Raw genomic sequence first — 22011 nt, 5'->3', positions numbered from 1 at the left:
GAAGGGAGTGGCTTCTTGTGAAGGTGGCAGAGAGGTCTGGGAGTGGGTTCTAGGCCCTGCTTCCTTCTGACGCTCCTGGTGGATCCAGGTCTTGCTCTAGTTGGGGGAGTGGCCAGGCTGCCCTTGCCCAGTCCCCTCGTGTCTCCCCTTCTCATGCCCACCTGAGGTCCCTGGTTTATCCAATAATGTATCTTGGCATATGCTGGCATGCTGAAGGCCAGTCCCTCCCTCCCTCCTCCCTCCCTCCTCCCTTCCTTACTTTTTATTCCCATCTCCCTCCTCCCTCCCTCCTTCCTCTCTTTTTTCCTCCCTCCCTCCTTCCTCCTTTTTTCCTCCCTCCCTCCTTCCTCCCTCTTCCCTCCCTCCCTTCTTCCTCCCTCTTCCCTCCCTCCTTCCTACTTCCTCCCTCTTTCCTCCTTCCTTCCTCCCTCCTTCCTAACTCCTCCTTCTTTCCTACCTCCTCCCTCTTTCCTCCCTCCCTCTTCCCTCGGTTTTCCCTCCCTCCTCTCTCCCTCCTTCCTCCCCCTCTCTTCCCTCCCTCCCCTTTCCTCCCTCCCTCCTTCTTTCTTCTGCTCACTTGCTCTGTAACAGAAGGTCCAGCTGGAAGCTCCATCCCAGGCTCCACATCACAAGAGACACACCCTAGGATGGTGACGGGGACCTCCCCGCCCCCACCCCCAGCAGCCTTTGCCTATTTTCTAAACAAGAGAGCAGAACAAATTTAGATGCCTCAAGGCCTGTGCCTCCACAAATGGTTTGGAGGCTGAGAAGCATTTTGAAGGACTGACGGTGTGCTGAGCCTGGGTCCCATCCACAGAAGGAAGGCATTTGCTTTTCACTCAGGCTGTGGGGGTGCAGCTGCCATGGGACCCTGCTGGCTCCATGCATGTCCAGCACTGCGGGCGGGTGACCAGCCGGTTCCTACCTGGAGACTCTGAAAGGCAAGCGGCTGACCGGCCCCCTCAGGGGTGGGGCCAGGAGGGTGCTGCTCTGTGGAGATGACCAGCCCCTGGCTGGGCAGGGAACAAAGGCCTAGGTGTTCTCCAGGGACCAGACATGGTCTTGGGTCCTATCCAGTAGAGCCCAGCTGAGGGGCAAGTGGATGGACACACAGGGCCTGTGCCAGCAGGCTGAAGCTGGGGATGCGAAGGTGAGCGTGGGCCTGAGAAGAACCTGCCAAGTGCCCAGATGAGAAAGCAAGCCGTGTACGAGAGCACAAGCCTCCTGTGACAATGTGAGTTTGGGGTGGCTGTGACATCTCTGTCTCCTATCTGCTCCTGCCAACCGCACCTTGTCCACAGGGGCAGACACTGTGGCTGACGAGTGGGGAGGAGGAGGGGAAGAGAGGAGGCCCTTCCTCCTGAGGCCAGGCCTGCTGTGTGTGCAGCCATGCCCAACCCATGCTTAGAACATGCTGTACATGGACCCTCCAGCAAGGCCAAGAGGCAACAGGAAGTGTCACAGACAATGTGGAAAAACCAAAATTCCCCTGCACTCCTGGTGGGATACAAATTGGTACCACCACTTGGGGAAATGGTCAGCATTTCTTATAGCTGAACATATAGATACATCACGCAACAACAATTCCACTCCCGTAAATGAGTGGACATTTATTTGTGTAAATACCCAATAAGAATTATTCATGTATTCACAAAACACATCTGTAGGAATGTTCAAAGGAATCTGACTCATGGTTGCCCTGACCTGGAAGCCCTCTGAGTGCCAGCGATAGAAGGGCAAGCCGTCATGACACCCAGATAGTCATGGAATAAATTTCAGAGACACAGTGATGAACAAACGAAGCCGGACTCGGCATCCTATTATCTACAGCACAAAACAGGCCCAAGTTGCCTCTGCTGTTGGCATGGAAACAGGTTCATGGATACTTCTGGGAAGGAACGGTAACTGGAAGAAAGCATAGTTGAAAAAAAACTACCTTACTTTAGAAATGAATTCTATCAATAATTAAATGAACAGATAAGAACCATCTACAGAGAATAGAGAAACTCATTTTATAAAACTTGTAAAATCTTGATGCCAAAACCAGAGAAGAAAAGTCAGAGAAAGGGAATTGAGAGGCTGACTTCATCTCTGAACACAGATGCAAACGTAATTACGTTGACAAGGCAGCACCTGTCAAGGGCAGGTATTGCCCGGCTCCCTCTCCAGGCCTCTCCCCACCTCTCCCTGATTTTGCCTTCTCTCTGGTTGTATTTGCAGTGGCCGTTTCATCACCCGTCACTGTTTTAACACTATTCATCTTCCGGGCCACAGCTTCTCCATGGTACCTTCCCAGCGGCCTTGCCAGCCAGCTGCTAAGGGAAAGGCTCCTGTCTGGGCCCTTGTGTCTCCACCCAGCACTCAGGATGCTGCAGCATTGATGCTAGCCTCTTTGCTGAATGCAGGACACATCACCCACACCTGGCAGTGCCCAGACAGGGCCCAGGGAGTGTCATTCATGACCACACGATGATGAGGACGGCAGACTTTCCCCCTACCGTGTTTCCAAGGGTAACTCATGCTCTCCAGAAACATTTCCACGATGGGCAGAACCCCATGCAGGCAGGCCCCAAATCATGGCCGGTAGTCACTGGCTTTATGCAATCCACAAGCTATTAAGGAAGATAGAAATCAGGCGAATCCAGAAAGGAATGAGTTATGTCCAGTGCTTCTTTCTGTGGCCAGTGACACCTATTAAAGGGAAGCCCTGTGGGCTCAACAGGGCACAGGGAGGACTTGGCTCCAGTTCGGGCAGTATGCCACGCTCAGCAGTACAGAACGGGAGGGATTGGCAGCTCCCTGGGTAACCCAGGAAAGGAGGGGGGTGAGAGGAGTTGGAGACCGGGCAGCAGCTGGGGAGGGAAGGTCCACATCAGAGCCGTGCAGAAGCTCCTGGGGATGGAGATGCTGCTCGGCTGTGCCACTTGCTGCGTCTACATGGCACTTGGGGCATGGCTCATGTGACTGCAGAACCGAATTTTAATATTATTTAATTTTAACTAATTTAAAAGTAAACAGCCACCCATGGCTGGGGGTCCCACACTGGACAGCATGGATCTGGGAGAAAACGAGGCAGACGACCCCGCTGGGAGAAGAGCCTGTGGTGAACGCCTGAAACGAAGCTCTGGGCGTTGCCGGGCTGTGCACTTTGTGGGCTTTCCCAGGCCCCTGGGAAACAGGCTCCACACCCACATGCCTCGTGGGAATCTATTTCACATTCAGTGAATCGCCGGGGGGTGGGGGTGGGGGGTCATACTCCACACGGTTCGATGTCAGGGTGGAGATAATGAAACGGCTGCAAGATGAAGGACACAGGGGTGACCGTGGGAGGGGGAAGCCCCTCGAAACCTGCAGGTCACTGGGGAAGGGCTTTCACCCCCCAGGGTACGGCCAGAGCGCCTGTCCACTTCAGGGGTCCACGGCCTGCAGCTCCTGTGTGGAATCTGTCACGGGGAGGAGCACCGGCCATCAGGGACCCAGTTCTCAGTGACCCCGAGGCAGAGTCCACTCCACCGAGCTCCAGTCCCCTGCCGCGTCACTACCTGCCTTTCCCCGAGACACCCTGGAGATGTCTGAAGTGCTGGGCTCTGGGCTGTCTCAGACAGGCCAGGACCCACAGGCTGCCATTTCTCTTCGCTCTTCATGGAGTTTCCAATGAGCTTTTGCTTGTCCTTTGGCTGGAAAATACCCACTGTCGTTTGAGGTTTTGGAAAAATCATGACGTTTTCTGAGGTCTACCCCGGCTGCATTGTTTCTCCTGCAGTCAGTTTTTAGGGGCAAGGTCGCTGTTTCCACAGTCCCCGTCATCCATGGACCGGGGCCAGCACAGCTGGGGGTCCTCAGCAGTTATGCCCTCGCCAGACACCTGCCTCCCGAGATCTGGGACAGGCTTCCGCAAGACACTGGCTGCCTCCCGAACTATTTATCTGGAAATGTATTCCACCATGGGTGTTTTATGGTTCATTTTCTTTCCAGTACCGATACCTGTCTGGCTGGATTACATTTCTTTGCATTATTGTAAAGGTTATTTCCATTATTTATCATCATCTAATGTTTGCTGTGCACTGACAAGGTACTGAGAGCTGTACTCGACAAAGAGGCAGGCTCAATATTCTTAATGATAGTAAGAGAAGCTGAACAGCAACTATAGGAACGGGAGGCTTCTCAGGCAAAGGGTCTCACACGCAGACCCCCCAACACACGTTTGTTGCCTGCATGTATTTAGGCCCAGGTCTATTTTTATGACCCCTGCCTTTTTAACAACCCTTATATTTTAAGCCATTAAAAAAAATAAATCTTCTGATGTTAGTTAGGTCTAAATGGCAGGGAGGAGATGGACTGTGAAACCAAATGTACAGACTGTGTTGGTTACAACCCAACTCAAACACCAGAGGAAGGCTAGGTCACCGCCTGGGTGCTGGCGCCGATCCCCTCCGCCTCCTGCTGGTCTGAATCACTACATCCAAGGGAGGGGACTTCCTCCCAGGGAGGCTTCTTGAGTGTCCTTGTCCTCAAGGCCAGCCCCTTCTGTGGATCTCAATTTACAGACATCACCATATAACAACATCGTAAACATACACGGGAACTGCGGCTGCTGCACCAGGCTGCTGCTGGACCGGGCAGCTGCTATCATTTACTCCATTTGCTGGCTGTGTTTGGCCCTCCTTGCAATGCTATAAAGGAATACCTGAGGCCGAGTAACTTTATAAAGAAAAGAGATTTAAGTAGCTCATCCTTCTGGAGGCTGTACAGGAAACATGGCGCCAGCATCTACTCGGCTTCCGGGGAGGCCTCAGGGACTTTTCACTCATGGAGGAAGTAAAAACAGGAGCAAGCCTGTGACAGGGCCAGAGCAGGGGTGTGAGAACAAGGGATAGGAGGGGCCACACACTTTTACTCAACCAGATCTCAGAGCACTCAATGTCTTGAGGACAGCACCAAGCCATGAGGGATCCGTCCGCAGGACCCAAACACTTCCCACCAGGCCCCAACTCCAACACTGGGGGTTACATCTCAATATGAGATTCGGAGGGGATAAACATCTGGCCCTGGCCAGGGAGAAGCCAGCCTTGGTTTCTCACAGATTCAGGCTTAGCTTGCCTGAGAGGGAGGGGGCTGCGGGGCTGGCACTGCTCAAGTGCGAGCACGCAGAGCTCAGGAGGAAGCGAAGCAGAGATGGGAGCCCCTGAGGAGGGCGAGGCGCACTTGTGATCTGGTCCAGGAAGTGGATTTCTGTGTCTGGGTGGCTTCAGCTCGGTCCTGCATCCTGGTGCCCTCTGAATGCTAATGGGGCTGCCCACGGTGCTTCACCTTCCTCCAGGTGAGTAGCTGGGTCCACCCCAGCAGCCCACCTTCTGCAAACGCCTCCTGGCCCTCCTCACCAGTGCCCCTCAGCACGCCTGCTTTCCTCAGGGCACCACGGGGTCCAGCATGCAGGCCGTTTAGGAACAGGAAGGATCCTAAAATCATGAGATATTCTATTATTAAATCAGAATTACGGCTAGAATCAGTGGGACTGACAACTGTCACTCTCCTTATTCGTCAGATCCAAATAGCAGTAAATGGTCACACACTTCATACTGACTTTTCCTGTGCCCTTCATTCTTCTTTAAAATGTGATATACATCTCCCATATGACTGTATACCAAGTGGAACACTCATAGAGAAGTGCTCTGTGCATCAGTACACAGCTTAGTGAAGCCCCACCACATATGTAACCAGCCATTGGCACTAAGAACAGCACCGTATAACCCCCAAGGCCTTCCTGTGCCCCCTCACTGTCCCTCATCCTCAGCGGTGCCCACTTTGCTGAATTACAACAGCCCAGATTCTGTTTGCCTGCTTTGGAACTCCCTATAGGTCCCATAGTACACGCACGATGGTGTCTGACTCCTCTGCTCTGGGTGTGAGACTCACCCCTGTGTGTGCAGTGATGGACCATCCGTTCACTAGGCTCTTGTTGCAGGAATGCAATGCAGTCTATTCGTCCATTCTCCTGGGGAAAAGCATCTGAATAGTTTCTAGTTTTGGGCTACTATGGATAGCTCTGCTATGAACATTCTAGTCTTTTTTTTTTTTTTTTGATGAGTATACAGATGTATTTCTGCTAGGTCATATAGCTAGGAGTAGAATTGCTGATAAGTGTATGTATATATTTAGTTTCTAAAATAGTTTTTATCATCAAAGGAATATGTTCACAGTGTTTGGTAAAATACATGACACCAAAAGGTGTATAGTATAAAGTAAAACACCAGCAGCAATGTCTTTGGATACTTCTCTACCTCTGAGGCTCTTTCCCAAAGGCACATTTTGAACTTTGTTAGTGGATCCATCTGGTATTTACTTCTTTCTTAAGGAGTTAAACATATTTAATTTCTTGATTTATCAATTTGTCAACTACCTATCACTGACCGACTATTGTGGTGGATGAAGAGTTCGCTTTCTTGGAAACCTCTGTCCCTACCCACTTTGTCACCTCTCCCTTCCTTCATCCCCTAATATGGTCATTATTTTGACTACGTACTTTGTGTTCACTGCTAAGCCAAGTGCACTGGTTTATGCCTCTTTTCTTCTGGCTTCAGTTGCTATAGTTTTTACCACACCCATTAATACCCTCTCAATACATTTTTTCAGGCTATAATCAAACATATCAGATAATCTATTAATTCCTTCTTATTTCCTCCTGGCGTTCACACTCCTGGTGTTCTGCTCCAATTGAAGCTGATTGCTCTTTGATGCCTCACTTTGGAAATTTGTTTTGCTTCCCTTTGACGTTACAGTTTTTGTTTCCTAGACCCCAGGCCTTGTCTCAGGAAAGCTTGTCCCTGCAACACACACCGCGGAAGGCTTCGGAACATCATGCGTGGGTGGCAGACTCTGCGTGCCTGCAAATGGCCATATTCTATTGCCATGTTTGACTGACAGTTGGGAAAAGTATAGAATTCCACTTTGGAAATGATTTTTTTCCTTGGACTTCTGAAAGCCTTGCCCCATACTCTTCTCACTTCCAATTCTGTCAACAGGTCTAGCATCATCTTTATACCCCTTCACTGCTGCAGCTGCTCCTTCTCTCTGGAAGCTCTGGTGGAGTCCCCTGCCACCTGGGTGTTCTAAAATGTTGATTTGAAGGGCTTTGATGTTCAGTGAATTCTCTAACTCTTCCTTCCTTCCTTCCTTCCTTCCTTCCTTCCTTCCTTCCTTCCTTCCTCCCTCCCTCCCTCTCTCCTTCCTCCCTCCCTCTCTTCCTTCTCTCCTTTCTTTCTCTCTGTCTTCCTTTCTCTTGCTTGCTTTTGTCATTGTCCACCTCTCTCCTTTTGTTGCACTTTATGGATCATTTCCTCAATCGTTCTCCAAGCCTTCTATGGGATAGTATTTGGCTATCATATTCCTTAATTTCCTTTTGTTTACTCTTTTTGTTCTCTCACTTTTGCTTTTACACAACTTTCCTTTTTGATTTCAGGAAGTTGATTTCATTCCTTATCTCTCTGAAAATATTAACTCTATAGATTTTTTGAAAGACACTTTCTACTTCCTGCTTTGTCTCTCTATCAATCAGAATCCTTCCCCTGACCCTCACCCATTTGTTCAGGTTTCATTTTTTTTTTTCCATGGTAGAGGCGCTCTCAAGTGTCAGGAAATCACTGGCTGTTATTTAACATTAAAGATCACCAACAGGCCAATCAGATGCTCTGCATATATGGCACTGATTAACTGGTGAGATTTTCCATAGTATTGATTAGGCTGCAAGCTGTCTTTCAGATTTCTTTAGCTTCTGTACAACAGCATACATTGTACATTGGTCTTTTCTCTGAGGACTATTATAGGCTGAATTTTGTTCCCCCAAAATTATACGGTGAAATCCTGGCCCCCAGTACCTCAGAATGTGACTGTATTTGAAGATAGGGCCTTTAAAGAGGTGAGTAAGTTTAAATGGCATTGTTAGGATGGGCCCTAATCTGACATGAGTGGTGTCCTTACAGGAAGAGATGACAGGGACACAGACCACACCGAGGGATGACCCCGTGAAGTCGCAGCAAGAAGGCGGCCACATGAAGGAGAGTGGCCTCAGGAGAATCCAGCCCTGCCAACCTCAGGCTTCCAGCCTCCAGAGCTGACAGAGTTAAATTTCCGTTGTTTAGTCACTCAGTCTGGCATTTTGTTATGGCAGCCCTAGAAGACTAACATAGAGACATTCAGTTTCTCCAGGGATAAATCCCCTAACTTCCTGCCTTGGGGTAAGAGCCAGGGGGGCTAAGGAGCACTGGGGCCTGGGCATTAGAGGGGCCGGGCCCTGCTGCTCACCATGCTGTGGACTTTGGTCTGCTCTCACTCCTCACTGTGCCCTGAGTCACCAAGGCTGGAGGCATTCTGACTGGTCTCCTGCTGGGATTAAGAAACGTCTGCCACTAAGCCCTGAAGATGGGACACAGGACTGGGTGCTTTACCGATTACAACTTAGAAATGCACTGCTTTCAGGTGGATGTCTTCGCCATGTCTTGCCTCACACCTGGAGCTCCCAGCCCTGCCTCCTCACGGTGGTGGTGGAGTGGACTGGCTGATTCCTGCTGCTGTTGTCATGGGGGCTTGCAGACTCAGCCACACTGCATGATCACCACTCCTCCGTGCGCTTTCATCTTCCAAAACGTGCTGACATCTCTGTTTCTTGTTGCTCCACGTCCATTCTCTTTTCCTTCATGGTTTCACATCTTATTCTTTTACCATAACTTAAATAAAGATTTTATGAAGGAGGTGACATAACACACATGTTCAAGTGCCACTAGAAACTGATCCCTTTTTACTTAATGTCTTTCCAGCTTAGGCGGGGTCCAGAGGTGACTCTGAGACAAGGGTAGGGAGACAAGCAGCTTCCTTGGAGGTGATCCCAGAAGTGCCATTAAGAAGGTAGAGAGGTGAGATAGGGAGGCAGAGGAGCTGTTGCAGGGCGGGTTAATGAGCAGGGGGTGGCTGTGTCAGCCCCACTGCAGACATCTGGAAGAGTATTCCCAGGGGCTCCCCTCCAGGAGCAAGGAGTCTGGATTATGTAGCCCCAGTCTCCTCCACCACTGCTTGAGGGCTGCTCCCGTGTGTTCACCTCCCCACATTTCTGGCCCTCCCCTGCACATGGCTGGGCACCCCGCTGTGAGTGGAGAAAGCCTCCAACAGAGTCAGGGCAGGTATTTGCAGTTAGAGCCATGAGTGCCAAGGGAATACGGGTGCAGCACTGGTGTCATCTGCTGTGTCTCAAACAATTGCTTTGTCATGTTTCCATTTTCCTATATCACAGTCGGCTGAATGAAGAATCACATTTGGTCACTTGGAAACTGTTAAACTTACTGGAGTCACAGCCAACCATGAGCAGGCCGAGGGCTGGACCAGAGCCCAGCGTAGGACAGGCAGAAGCCTCTTCTGATGGCCCTTCTGACTTGTAGGTTATGGTGGAGGAGCTCATATAAGTTTTGTGAACGTTCCTCGGTAAGGCAGCCTGGGATAAGGGGTGAATCCTGGTAGCTGAAAACAAAATTAGGAGGTTCCAGGAGGAAGAGAATTTTGAGCAGAGACTAGGGACAGGCGTGTCTTTGGCCTCACCTTGCATCTCACTTGCTGGGGGGAGCCTCAGCTTGTTAATGCTTCCCTTTCAACGCCTCTGTCTGGCTTTCCCGTCAATCCCATTTCCTGGATGCAACCCGAGTGCTCATGCATCATTCTGCAAAGATGACCCCTCTGTGGGGAGCAGTGACTCTTCTAATTATCTACTGCTGGTAACAAATGGTTCCAAAGCCTGGTGGCTTGAACAACAACCATTTTTTTCTGTCTCATAATTTGTGGGTCAGGAATTCAGATCAGACCAGCTGGGAGACTTTTCTACTCCATATGGCATTAACAGGGTCACCTGATGTGGGGTCACTGGTGTCTGGACTGCCCTGGGGTGCCTGAGATGGCTCCACTCACACCTGGTGCCTTGGCCTCTCCAGCACGGTGGTCACTGCTAGCTGAACTTCCTGTGTGGCAGCTCAGGGCTCTGGGTGAGTGTTGCAGGGGGAAGCTGCAAGTTTCTCCTGGTTATCAGCCACAGGAGACTCAGAACATCACTTCTGCTGTGTCCTACTGGTTACGAGTGGCTCAGTGGGGCCAGCCCAGATTCAAGGGGAAAGGATGCAGGAAGCAGGTCAAGAAATGCGTGGTCACCTTTAGTGTACTGCAGTGACAGCCACTCTCCTCCAGTGACGCCCCTTTCACCTGGTGGCCCAGGAGAGGAAGCGTCCTTAGCTCATTTTGTATTAGACTTCTAATCTGCACAGCTGAGTAAATTTCCTTGTTTTAAATATACGTGAAAACAACTCCAATGTGTGCTTTACTGATTCAATCACAAACTTGGCTCATGTGTGGTCGTTTCTCTGCCTTTGCCACTCCTTCTGTAGCAGGACTGACTTCAACTTTAGGAAATTTGGATAGGCTCTTGGTGGGGAAGTTTATAGTGATTAACCCACAATCTCTTGCATCATCCCCTTTATGACCAAGAGATACATTTGTGACATTCTTGTGGCCTTTATCAGCACTGAATGCAGTCTGTGGCCATGGTTCTAAGATGATATTTGGGGAATGGCCCTGGTAAGGATCTATGCTTACAGTCAGCCTCTTTGCAGGGAAGCAAAATAGATAAATTCAAGAGTGTTGGCCTTAAGAGTAAACACATGTGAGCAAACACAAACAAGCTGAAGTGATAAGGAAACATGATAAAAACAAATACACATATGAATATAAGGAGGCAGAGGCAGATGGATTGCCTGAGCTCAGGAGTTCGAGACTACCCAGGGCAACATGGTGAAACTCCATCTCTACTGAAAATACAAAAAAACTAGCCAGACATGGTGGTGCGCACCTGTAATCCCAGCTACTTGGGAAGCTCACTCAGGAGAATTGCTTGAGCCCTGGAGGCGGGGGTTGCAGTGAGCCGAGATCGCACCACTACACTCCAGCCTGGGCTACAGAGTGAGGCTCTGTCTCAAAAAAAAAAAAGAAAGAAACAAGAAATAAGAGTCATTGCGTGGTCCTTGGGAGCCCTTGGGAGCCAGAAGTGAGCTGTAAGAAGTACAAGATACATTGCATTTTCAAGAAACACACATTTGTTTTCACACGATCAAACAGTCCATTTCCACGCATACTGCAGAACCATTACAGCTGGCAAGAGCACGCTGGAACGCTGTCCTAGCTGGGAGGCTGGGCTGGTGCTCTGAATTCTGAGACCCAGTGCTTAAGGTACAGAGAGGGACGTTTTTCTCACATGGAGAATTTGTACAACATACAAGGTTGAATCTTTTTTAATTCAAGTGAAAAAAAAAGAATGGAAATGTTTCTGCAAACCATTTGTTTCATTTGGCTCCATGGTGCTGACTACGTACGTGATGACTGCGTGGGAGCACACAGGCAGATACGTGCCATGTGGACTGAGGATGGACAGCTCACTATGGTTGGAGGGCTCAGCACAAACTGGATGGGCCATTTATTTCTAGCGCAGCTGGCAAACTTGCAGATTTCTGTTTATAAACGTGGTGCCTCCTGGAAGGCAGACACAGCATTTGTACAAACGCTGCTTTCTAGCTGGTTCACTCTTTATGAGTTTGCTTTCACAACAGCCTTGGGGACTGGTCAGGATGACACGTTATAGATAAGACAACGAAGACTGAGAAAGTGTAAGCAACAGACGCACACTCACAGAGTGGAACTTGCTTTCTGAACCACACCCAGTGCCCTGCTGCCTGCATGCTACCCCTATTTTGGGTTAGTAGGTAACTGTGACCCAGGGCCTGGCTGACACAGGAGAGCTGTGTTTCTTGGCCCTCCCATGCCCATGCGATCCATCTGTTTGTTGCACAAAATGTATTAAAGATGAGTGTATGCCATAGGGAGCAATGGCTTCCTGCATTTGAATTAGTTTTATTTGCATTTTCTATTTTAATATTTTCCTGTTTTAAATAAAGTCTTTTACATTTGGTACTGTCACTGGTGTTTATCTGTGAAATATGATAGGTCTTTCATTCCAGCAAGATGGCCAACTGGGATGACATGGGTGACCCCTTTCACTGAGAAGGCACAGAAACCATGTAGTCCATGGGTAATTCACTTTCAGGAAACAGGACTGGGGGTGTGTGGCTGAGTTTCTAATGCTTTGAGGGGAGACAGGACGTGGTGTTTGGTCAGGGGAGAACTCATGCATAAATCCCATAGCCTCAAAGAGTTCTTTCCATGAGAGAGGACTAGAAATTCCCCAGTCTCCACCCCATATTAATAAACCAGCGAGTAAGCTTTGTGTCTGTCCTGGACTGTAAGTGAGCAATCGAGACCTCAAGTCAGGCTAACTATAGGTATGGGCCCTGAGTTTATAGATACACGTGTGCAAGAGCCCCGCTGAGAAGTTAAACTATAAATGGATCCAGCACTCAAACCCAATAAAACACAAAGATCGTTGCTAAGGATGATGACAATTTCATAAACTAGAGCTCATAGATTTCCAGCAGGGGAAAGAAAATCTTAGATCTCAATGGAACCACCAAAGAAAATTATAAACTGAATGAGGGGAGTAAACATAAAAACGATGGTCAGCTGAGTGTCCACCCAAAGCAGAACTGTTACTTCCAGGTGGCTCCCCTTCAGCTGTAGGGCACCCTGCCCATCTCCTCAACAGGATGTCTCCTGATCTCACACAAGCATCCAGTCCCTGGGGGAGGCTTCCTTGGCCCCTGGTTCAGGTCATGCTTCCCTGCACCATGCTTTCACAGAACTTTGCATTCATGACACTTACTAAGTGAATGTTCATTTCCCCACTAGACCATAATCCCCAAGGGAGCATAGGTCACCTTTTTGCTCACCTTTTTTCAACACTTAACATCGCACCTTGCACCTGGATGACATGAATGAAGGATATATCCAAGATATAACTGAATAATAAGAATCAGTACCTTTTCCAACAGAAATTCAAGCAGCATGCTGGTAACATGAATATAGCAATAGTGTCCTCTGCAGACGCCGGCCTCCACCAGCTGTTAGCATCCCAATGCTGACTGCTGAAATGGAATCTGGCTGCTGTGGCTTGGCCTCTGTGTTGCTGCACTTGGCTTGGGCACTCGTTTCTAACACTTGGCTCCTTCTAAGAAGATGGGTTGCTTAGCAACTTCCAAAAACTGTTTGCCTCTGAAGCAGGGAGGCAGCCCTTGTCAGTCTGGTGCTGGGCTCCCTGCTGGCCCTGCTGGCCTCTCCCTGGGGAACCTCCCTGCTTTCAGACTGGACACTGGAAACCAGGGGTGTGCACTCCTAGTTCCACTCCTTCAGATTTTTATTTGCCTGCTGCAAGAATTCCTGGCCTGAACTAACCCGAAATGTGTGATGATACAGTGAGACAAAGGAAGTCAGGCCTCAGAACTTACTCTATAGTCAAGTGAAATGAAGATTCAGTAGTCAGAGTGGACACACTGGGAAGGTGCCACATGCTTTGTATGTCCTCAGATCCTTGGTGACACCAGGACACACCCTGCAGGGCAATGGCAGCAGATCATAAACCTCCACAAACCTCCTGTCTTAAAAGGAAAAGTGCCCACTTCAAGAGAGGGGCTTCAGTGAAGCTGAGTTTGCTTCTTCATTGCCCAGAGGCATGTCTGCGAGCCAAACTGCTATGGACTGCATGTATGTGTACCACCCCACCCCCCAACTTCATATATTGAAGCCCTAATTCCAATGAGATGGTATTAGAAGGTGGAGCCATTGGGAGGTGACTGGGTTTGGATGAGGTCATGAGGCTGAAACCCTCAGGATGGGATGAGTACCCTTCTAAGAACAGAAGACACAGGAGTTCTCTCTCTGCAAACTAGTGAGGACACAGGGAGAAGGTGGCCATCTGCAGCCTGGAAGAGAGCCCTCCCCAGAACCTGACCGTGCTAGTACCCTGATCTCAGATGCCCAGCCTCTAGAATTGTGAGAAACAGATGGCCACTGCTTAAACCACCTAGTCCACAGTAACTTGTGACAGCAGCTCAGTCTGACTGATGTGCTGCTCAGTCTGTCCCCAACTTTTCACAATACTCCCTTGCGTGTATCTAGTTGCTGGAAAAAAAATCCACCCATTTCCTGAGCTTTTTATCTCAAATGAAAAAGGGCACTTTCCTTTGGAAAACAGGTTCCAGCTTGCTGGGCCTTCTTAACTGGGATTATTCTCTGAAATGTGTCATGGTGTCACCTGCTCCATCTGGTTCCTTGAAAGCTGCTGTTTCAGGGCTATCCTGATATTTCCACACGAAATTGACAAGTGCCTCTCCTTTTCCATGGATGCCTGTGAGCCCCCATCCCCTGTGCCGCACTTTGGGATATCCACCATTCCCCTTCCCAAAGAAAGTGTTTGGCTCAAAGAGGATGTTCGTATAATACCACATTTCCTTTTCCTACTGAGAAGAAACTTGCCTCTGAAGCGTGACTTGATGGCATATGTACCCAAAGCAGATTCCCCCGATTCTGCCGCATGCACTGCCCTGTGTCAGCTCCAGGGAAACAGGTTTCAAGCCACTGAGAAAGTGCTGCCATGTACCCTGCCCTGCCTGTGTGTTCATATGGTTCTCCACTGTTTAGTTCCCTCGGTTCCCTGGTTGGGAGCAAGATGCAAAATTAAAAGTATATCTATATTGACTTCTTTACTTAGACCTTCTAATGAAGTGCTGACTGTCAGGTGCAAGCTAACAAGAATGTGCTTGTTTGGAATGAATTCCAAAGGAAAGACAGGAAATTCTCTTGTATTGAACTCGAGAGAAAAAGATTCAAAAGACTACGTGAGGGTCGCTGTCTTAGCCCATTTTGTGTTGCTATCACAGAATACCTGAGGCTGAATAGTTTATCAAGAAAACAGGTTTATTTGGCTCATAACTATGTAGGCTGGAAAATTCAAGACTGAGCATCAGCCGGGCTTGGTGGCTCATGCCTGTAATCTCAGCACTCTGGGAGGCTGAGGTGGGTGGATCACCTGAGGTCAGAAGTTCGAGACCAGCCTGGCCAACATGGTGAAACTCCACTCTACTAAACATGCAAAAATTAGCTGGGAGTGTTGGTGCACACCTGTAGTCCCAGCTACTCAGGAGGCTGAGGCAGGAGAATCACTTGAACTCAGGAGGCGGACATTGTAGAGAGCCGACATCACGCCACTGTACTCCAGCCTCGGTGACAGAGTGAGAGTGGATCTCAAAAAAAAAAAAATACTGAGCATCTGCATATGGTGAGGACCTCGGGCTGCTTCGACTCACTGCAAAAAGTAGAAGGAGAGACTTGAAAGCGGTATGCATGCACAGAGATCATGTGGTGAGAGAGGAAGTGGGGTGTGCCAGGCTCTTTCTAACAGGCAGCTGTCGAAGGAGCTAATAGAGACAGAGCTCCCTCACACCCAAGGGACGGAATTCATCTACTCGTGAGAGATCTGCCCCCTTGACCCAAAGGCTTTCCACCAGGCCCCATCTCCCAATATTGCCACACTGGAGATCAAATTTTAACATGAGGTTTGGAGGTGACAAACACCTAAGCCATAGCAGTCGCCTAGCCCCCTGGAGCAGTCACTGGGAAATCACTGATGTGTATAGGCAGTGTTGCTTACTGTAATGTGTGCATGTTCCCTGGTCTGTCCACAGTCCTCTAGGCATTGGAGGAACATGCATGGTTTCCTCAGAGCTGCATGTGGGGCTTCAAAATGAGATGCTGGACTTGAAAGGGCAGGTCTCTACCCTGACATAAAATCTGACTGAAGAGGGGCTCAGATGTGAACTGGGGGCTTCCTGGGCAAGTGCATGCTCCAGCTCTCCTCTCTCCAGGTGGATGGAGGTGGCTCTGTGTGGGACAAGGTTACATGATCACATTCCCACGGGAAGCACAAGCTTGGCTTCTATCCAGGCGAGAAGGGTGCCTTGACTCCTGCAAACCATTGTTGTAGCTGGCCAGCACCAGGTGTTCTCTCTAGAGCCCACTGTGTTAGGGAGGAGAGAACCAAGATTTGAATATTTTGGTTCCTAGGACTGTTGAGATGATATCAAATGATTTGCTGAGCATTTTCAGCCTGTGAATACAAGATTAATCAGATGGTAGCCACATATACTGGTAGTATGAGTCTCCCCCTAGCCCAGCCTCCGCCTCTCTCAGCCCAGGTATAGCCTGGGTGCAGACCTGCAGCTGGTGAGGTGAGGGGACAGCAGGATCATCTGCTGGTCCAGACAGTGGATTCGCCCAGAGGGCTCAAAGCTGAGAGCTCACTGCACACACCGAGGCAGTCTTCCCCCCTCACTTCCCTCTTTCACTCTCCGTTGTCCTCTCTCCCTCTTTTCTCTGGAGCCCTGTGCCAGTTTTCCTTGCTGAGCTGTTTCAGTGAGAGCCACAGCCACAGCTGTGGCACCAATGCAGCCATCAGCATCCTATCCGGCAGCGTGGGCTCTCGTCTAATGGTTGGAAAACCAGCTATTTGGTCTGCTCATCTCGAGTTGTGGGTAAACGAGCTGTGTTCCTACTCAGATTATCTAGGCCCAACTGGGTGCAGATGCTTCCCATTGAAATAATTATGAAAAAAGTAATTAACATGGGTGTTTTGCCTGGAATGTGGCAAGATCCTTAAGGACAGTTTGGCTTCCTCATTCCAACAGGAGGCTCACTTCACCACCAGGAGAGAGCAGTGCACCGCCACATCATTCATTTGGCTGCAGATGGATCCCAGGAGGCACGCTTGGTAACTTTAATTTCTCTAACAGTTCCTTCCCAAACTGCCTCTCAAGCATTTTTGCTAATGTAAGAGCATTTTTCCAGGGTCAGACTGACCGGTTTCAAACCCATTGCTTCACTGTAGTGTGACTTTCTACAAGTTTCCTTCTCTGTGCTTCAATTTCCTCATCTGTAAGCTGAAGATAATGAGTTACTGTGTCATGGGGTCTTTGAAAGTACTAGGGTGTTAATATACACCAGTCTTCAGAACAGTACCTAGGACACAGTAGTGAGTGTTCTGGTGATCTATTGTTCTGTGGCTAAGTACCCCAGTGGCTTAAGACAACCACCACTGGGTGCTTATGAATTCTGGAGTCAAGAATTCAGGGAGCACTCAGCTGGAGAATGGGCTGTTCTGGAGGTCCAATGTAACTTCTCTCAGATAGCTGGTTCCTGGGCTGAGATAACTAAGAGACTAAGCCTGTTGACCAGAACACCTACAAGTGGCCTTTCCATGTGACTTGGGCTTCCCCACAGCATGGAGGTCTCAGGGAGGAAGATTTCTTACATTGCAGCTCAGGACTCCAAGAGCAAGTGTCCCAGTGAGTGAGGCAGAAGCAACAAGGCCTCAATGATTCCTGGCTTCTGAGGTCACACAGAGCCCTCTTCCTGCACTCCACTGTAACAAGCAAGGCACTAAGTGCATCCCAGTGCTATGCAAAGCACTAAGTCAAGAGGTGAATGAAATTATATGCCTTAATGGAGAAGGGGCAAGGCCACATTGCAGAAGAGCATGTGTGCTAGGAAATGCTGTGGCCATCTTTGGGAGGTAAAATTTACCACAGTGAACATAATGTTTTAACTGTCATTTTAATTAACCTCTGCCTCATCATCTATGTCAGCAATAGAGGGCTGAAGATTCACAACAGCCTTGCTTCATGGATGAGCACATGGAGACTCCATAGAGCAGACCAATTTGCTCATAATCATGCACCTAAATCAAAGTGTGTTTGGAAGCTGTCATATCCTGGAATCCATTGATTTTTCTCCCAAGTTCCCTGGGAATAAAGTGTGGGTGTTTGCGTGTAGCTAGTCTAGATGATTCTCTTTTTCTTCTTTGGCATAGAAAGTCTACTTCTTGCATTTCAAAATATATGAAGCTGCAAGCTAATTATTGCTAAGGCTCAGTTTTCTCTTTTTGATGATGTGTCTGTTTTTCTATTGAGAAATCTGGGGCCAAGTTATGGGGCAAGAAGGAGAACTCAGCATCACATAAGTGGTTGGAAATCACATATTTAAAGGCTCTTTCCACAAAGCTGTATTTCTTCTTAGAGCATCTCTGAAACTATTCTGTATGACACTGTCATGGTAAATATGTGGCACTGCGCATTTGTCAAAACACACAGAACTTTACAACACAAAGACAAAATCTTATTGTATTCAAATTTAAAAAATTGATTAGGAAGTCAGGGGATGCCAGGAGGGAATGCAGATTATGATGGATTAATCTAACTGTATTACAAATTTATGAAACAACCTCACTGAAGGGGGTGAGGAGGGTGTTGACCAAAGTAACCCTGGAAACGAGTGGAGACTGCAGGACTAATGGCAGAAAGAACTACACATAAGCACAGCACTCTAGCTGATAAAGTTACTTCTCATGAACACGGCACTCTAGCTGATAAAGTTACTTCTCATGAACACGGCACTCTAGCTGATAAAGTTACTTCTCATGAACACGGCACTCTAGCTGATAAAGTTACTGCTCATGAACATGGCACTCTAGCTGATAAAGTTACTTCTCATGAACACGGCACTCTAGCTGATAAAGTTACTTCTCATGAAGATACAGGTTGACAGTTCTGACACTATACACTTATACTGGAAATGAACAATTAAGTAAGTGGATAGTGGATGGTTGGAGCCAGGTTTCTCATTGTTGGAGTAGGAGGTTACAGAGAAGTAAGGGAAGAAGGCTGCAGTGATGTGTGACAATGAGTTAGAGTTGGAGGCACCAGTATGAACTCACATTTAGCTTAATACAGATACAGATGGATATATATATATGTACATAAATAATTATGCATATAGAAATATTTCTACATATTTAAACAAGTAGAAATACTCTCTATATAGAACTAATTACATTCGTGCAAAAGTAATTGCAGTTTTTGCCATTAAAATGCAACTAACCTAACAGTAATGGCATGAGGATACATACATTTATTTCCTAGCTTTGTCACTGAGAGAGCCTAGAATCAATGACACCCCAGAAGCCACAAGCACACCCAGTGCCCAGATCTTGGTTTCGAACCCTATTCTCTAATGAAAGAACCAGGGCTCCATAGGAAAATAGCTGATTCTGGGACGTGGACAGGAAGCATACAAGATGAACCTGAAGCAGCATCTTGCGGTGCAAAAATGTAAGAAAGTGCTTCAAAAAACAAAAGGATGTCAAGTGGACACAGAAACCAATCTGAAAGAGCTCCCAAGGGTCAAAGCAGCAAATAAATTATGTAGTTTTGGATTAGACACCAAAGTATAACATAAATATCCAAGGGTCCATACTGACATAAATAAATGGATGAACCAATTAATGGAGGAGGGTAGACAAATCTCCCACACAGACAAGTTCCAAAACATTTATCTAAGTGCTCTGCCCTTAAGGTGATAAAGTATTTTCCACCCTACCCTTCGAGTGTGGGCTGTGCGGTGACTTCCTATGACAGAGTACAGCATGGGAAGGGGGAAAGAGTGACTCTGCTGTGGAGGCCCTGACAATCCCTCTCTCTCCAGGTGCAAGCTTGACATCAACAGCAACAAGCCACACTGATAGCAGGTGCCCCTGATGTGACCCCAAGTCTATAACCTCAGTCTAATAAAGACATCAGACCAATCTCAACAGTGGGGCCTCCCACGATGTACCCGATCAGTGCTCTGCAAAATTGTCAAGGCCATCAAAAACAAGGAAACTTATTTGAGAAACTGTCACAGCCAAGAGGAACTTAAGGAGGCACAACTACTAAATGCCATATGGTTTCTTGGATGGGACCTTGGAACAGAAAAAGGACATTAGGTAAATCTTGAAGGAATCTATTATGGACTATGGTTCTTTTTGTTTTTTGTTTAACCATAGAGCCTACATAGTCCATGGAGTGTAGTTTCTGATAATGTGTTAGCAGTGGCTCATTAATTGTGACAAATGTGTCACACCATAAGATGTTAGGGAAAGGAGAAACCAGTTAAGGGATACATGGGAACTCTGTGTACTGTCTTAGTAAATTTTTTGTCAACCTAAAACCATTCTAAAATAAAAAGTTGACTTTAAAAACATCAGGGCGTGGCATGGGACAAGGTGAGAGACCAGGAGCTGTGAGTCTGCACACCCTGCTGCACACTCCGTGCTCCATCCTTGGCTGCCTGGTGGCGAGGTGGGCAGGGCACAGCTTTGGTATAGGCCGGCCCAGCTCAAGTCTAGCACGTATGTTAACTAGTTTACGTCCTGTTACTATTTTATCTGAGTATCTAGTTTTATTTTTCTCCCTAAAATAGAGTTATAATACCTATTTTGCTGGTTGCGACAAATACTAACAACAATAACACACTGACTTACAGCTTTATGTCAAACACCATACGGACAACACTTTACTTGCCTCATCTCATTTCTTCCATTGCACAACACCATGTAGTAGGTACCATTATCAATACTGTTTTCCTCAGCAATGTTTTATGTTAACATAGGGAAAAGTTAAAAGAAACTACAGTCAACACTCATATACTCACCACTTTGGTGTACCATTATCATTTTGCTATATTTATGTATCTACCCAACTCTCCATCCATCCATCCATCCATCCATCAATCCATCCATCCATCATCATCTTTTTCCAAAATGTATTTCATAGTAAGTTCTCCTAAACATGTCTGCGTGTGAAACCATTAATGCTACTTTAAAAATGAGGAATTAAGGTTCAGGAAGGTGAACTTTATCCAAGATCACATAGCTAGTGAGTAACAGCTTCTAACTCTTGGATTGTAGTAAGTGCTCATGAATAGAAACTACTGTCATCAATATCATTCTCTAAGCAAAAGTTCCTGGGAACAAATGAGGAGGTTTAAGATTGTAAGAGCTAGGACAGGAAGGGCAGATCTTTCTTTTTAAACACCCACCGGGGACGAAGAGCAATTCTTAGCAACCAAAATGAATGGACACTTTGGAGTGAACAGTTGTGTGCATGCAGGCTGGCAGGCACCTGCCCATGCGCCCTCCATGTGCGCCATCTCCCTGACACGTGGGTGGTGGCTGTTTTGTGCCTGTGAAATGCTATCGGGTTGCTAGTTTGGTGCCTCTAGAGATGTGTGGATCCATCCCATGCTACCTGCAGAAGCACCCCTAGGACTCCTGTGTTTTTGTGTCCAGTGAGCTTCCACAAGTTTTGCTGTATTATGGGTGACATATTAGTCCTATTGTTCTCATCTGAAATCTCCTCCTTCCAGTCAATTTCATAGAAAAACAATTACATAGTAAAACAAAACACATTTGTTTACAAGGTCTTCCCACACTGGGGCCACTAGATAACCATGAAATCTAACGCTTTAATTATTTGAAGAAAAGCTCCTTCCTTCCTTCCTTCCTTCCTTCCTTCCTTCCTTCCTTCCTTCCTTCCTTCCTTCTTTCCCTCCCTCCCTTCTTCCTTCATTTCCTTCCCTCCTTCCTTCTTCCTTTTTTCTCCCTCTCTCACTTTCTTTTCTTTTTCTCCCTCCCTTCCTCCCTTCCTCTCTCTCTCTCTCTCGCTCTCAATGTCTCTCTCTTTCTCTCTTTCTTTCCTTCTTTTTTTTCTCACTGTCACCCAGGCTGCCAGTGGCATGATCTTGGCTCTCTGCAAACTCTGCCTCCCAGATTCTCCTGCCACAACCTCCTGAGTAGCTGGGATTATAGGCACTCCCCATGACCCCCAGCTATTTTTTGTGTTTTTTGTAGAGATGGGGTTTTACCATGTTGACCAGGCTAGTCTCGAACTCCTGACCTCAAGTGATCTGCCCACCTTGGCCTTCCAAAGTGCTGGAATTACAGGCATGAGCCATTGCACCTGGCCAGAAGAGCTTATTTCTTAAGAAACAAGAATAAAGATTTAAGCACAAAACTGAAAAAATATGTAGTGTTATTTACTAGAATGAAAATTTGGGGGGCAATCTAAATGCCTTAAAATTTATTTGTGAATAGTTAAATAATCATGTTGTGTCCATATGGTGAGATATCTGGTAATCACAGACAATTATGCTTATAAGGCAGTGCTAATT

The 22011-nt window shown here is 47.6% G+C and overlaps 1 protein-coding gene across 11 annotated transcripts in view; it reads right to left on the bottom strand.

The window, feature by feature from the left end:
- SYNDIG1 (synapse differentiation inducing 1) overlaps positions 1-22011 on the bottom strand; it is a 196988-nt gene that overhangs the window by 4759 nt on the left and 170218 nt on the right. The window contains exon 4 of one of the 11 annotated variants that reach the window (XM_011529356.4): positions 1591-1905. The exons of 9 other annotated variants lie outside the window; for them this stretch is intronic. In XM_011529356.4, the coding sequence (XP_011527658.1) occupies positions 1825-1905 (81 nt within the window). In that variant the 3' untranslated portion in view covers positions 1591-1824. Of the gene's footprint in view, positions 1-1590; positions 1906-15195; positions 15278-22011 lie in introns of those variants that run through there. One more of the 11 variants, XM_011529358.3, reaches the window with a different exon arrangement.

This window comes from Homo sapiens, chromosome 20 (assembly GCF_000001405.40).
Source record: "Homo sapiens chromosome 20, GRCh38.p14 Primary Assembly".
NCBI lineage: Eukaryota > Metazoa > Chordata > Mammalia > Primates > Hominidae > Homo > Homo sapiens.
Note: the sequence above shows the minus strand (reverse complement) of the source record. Positions and strands in the feature narration are given on the sequence as shown.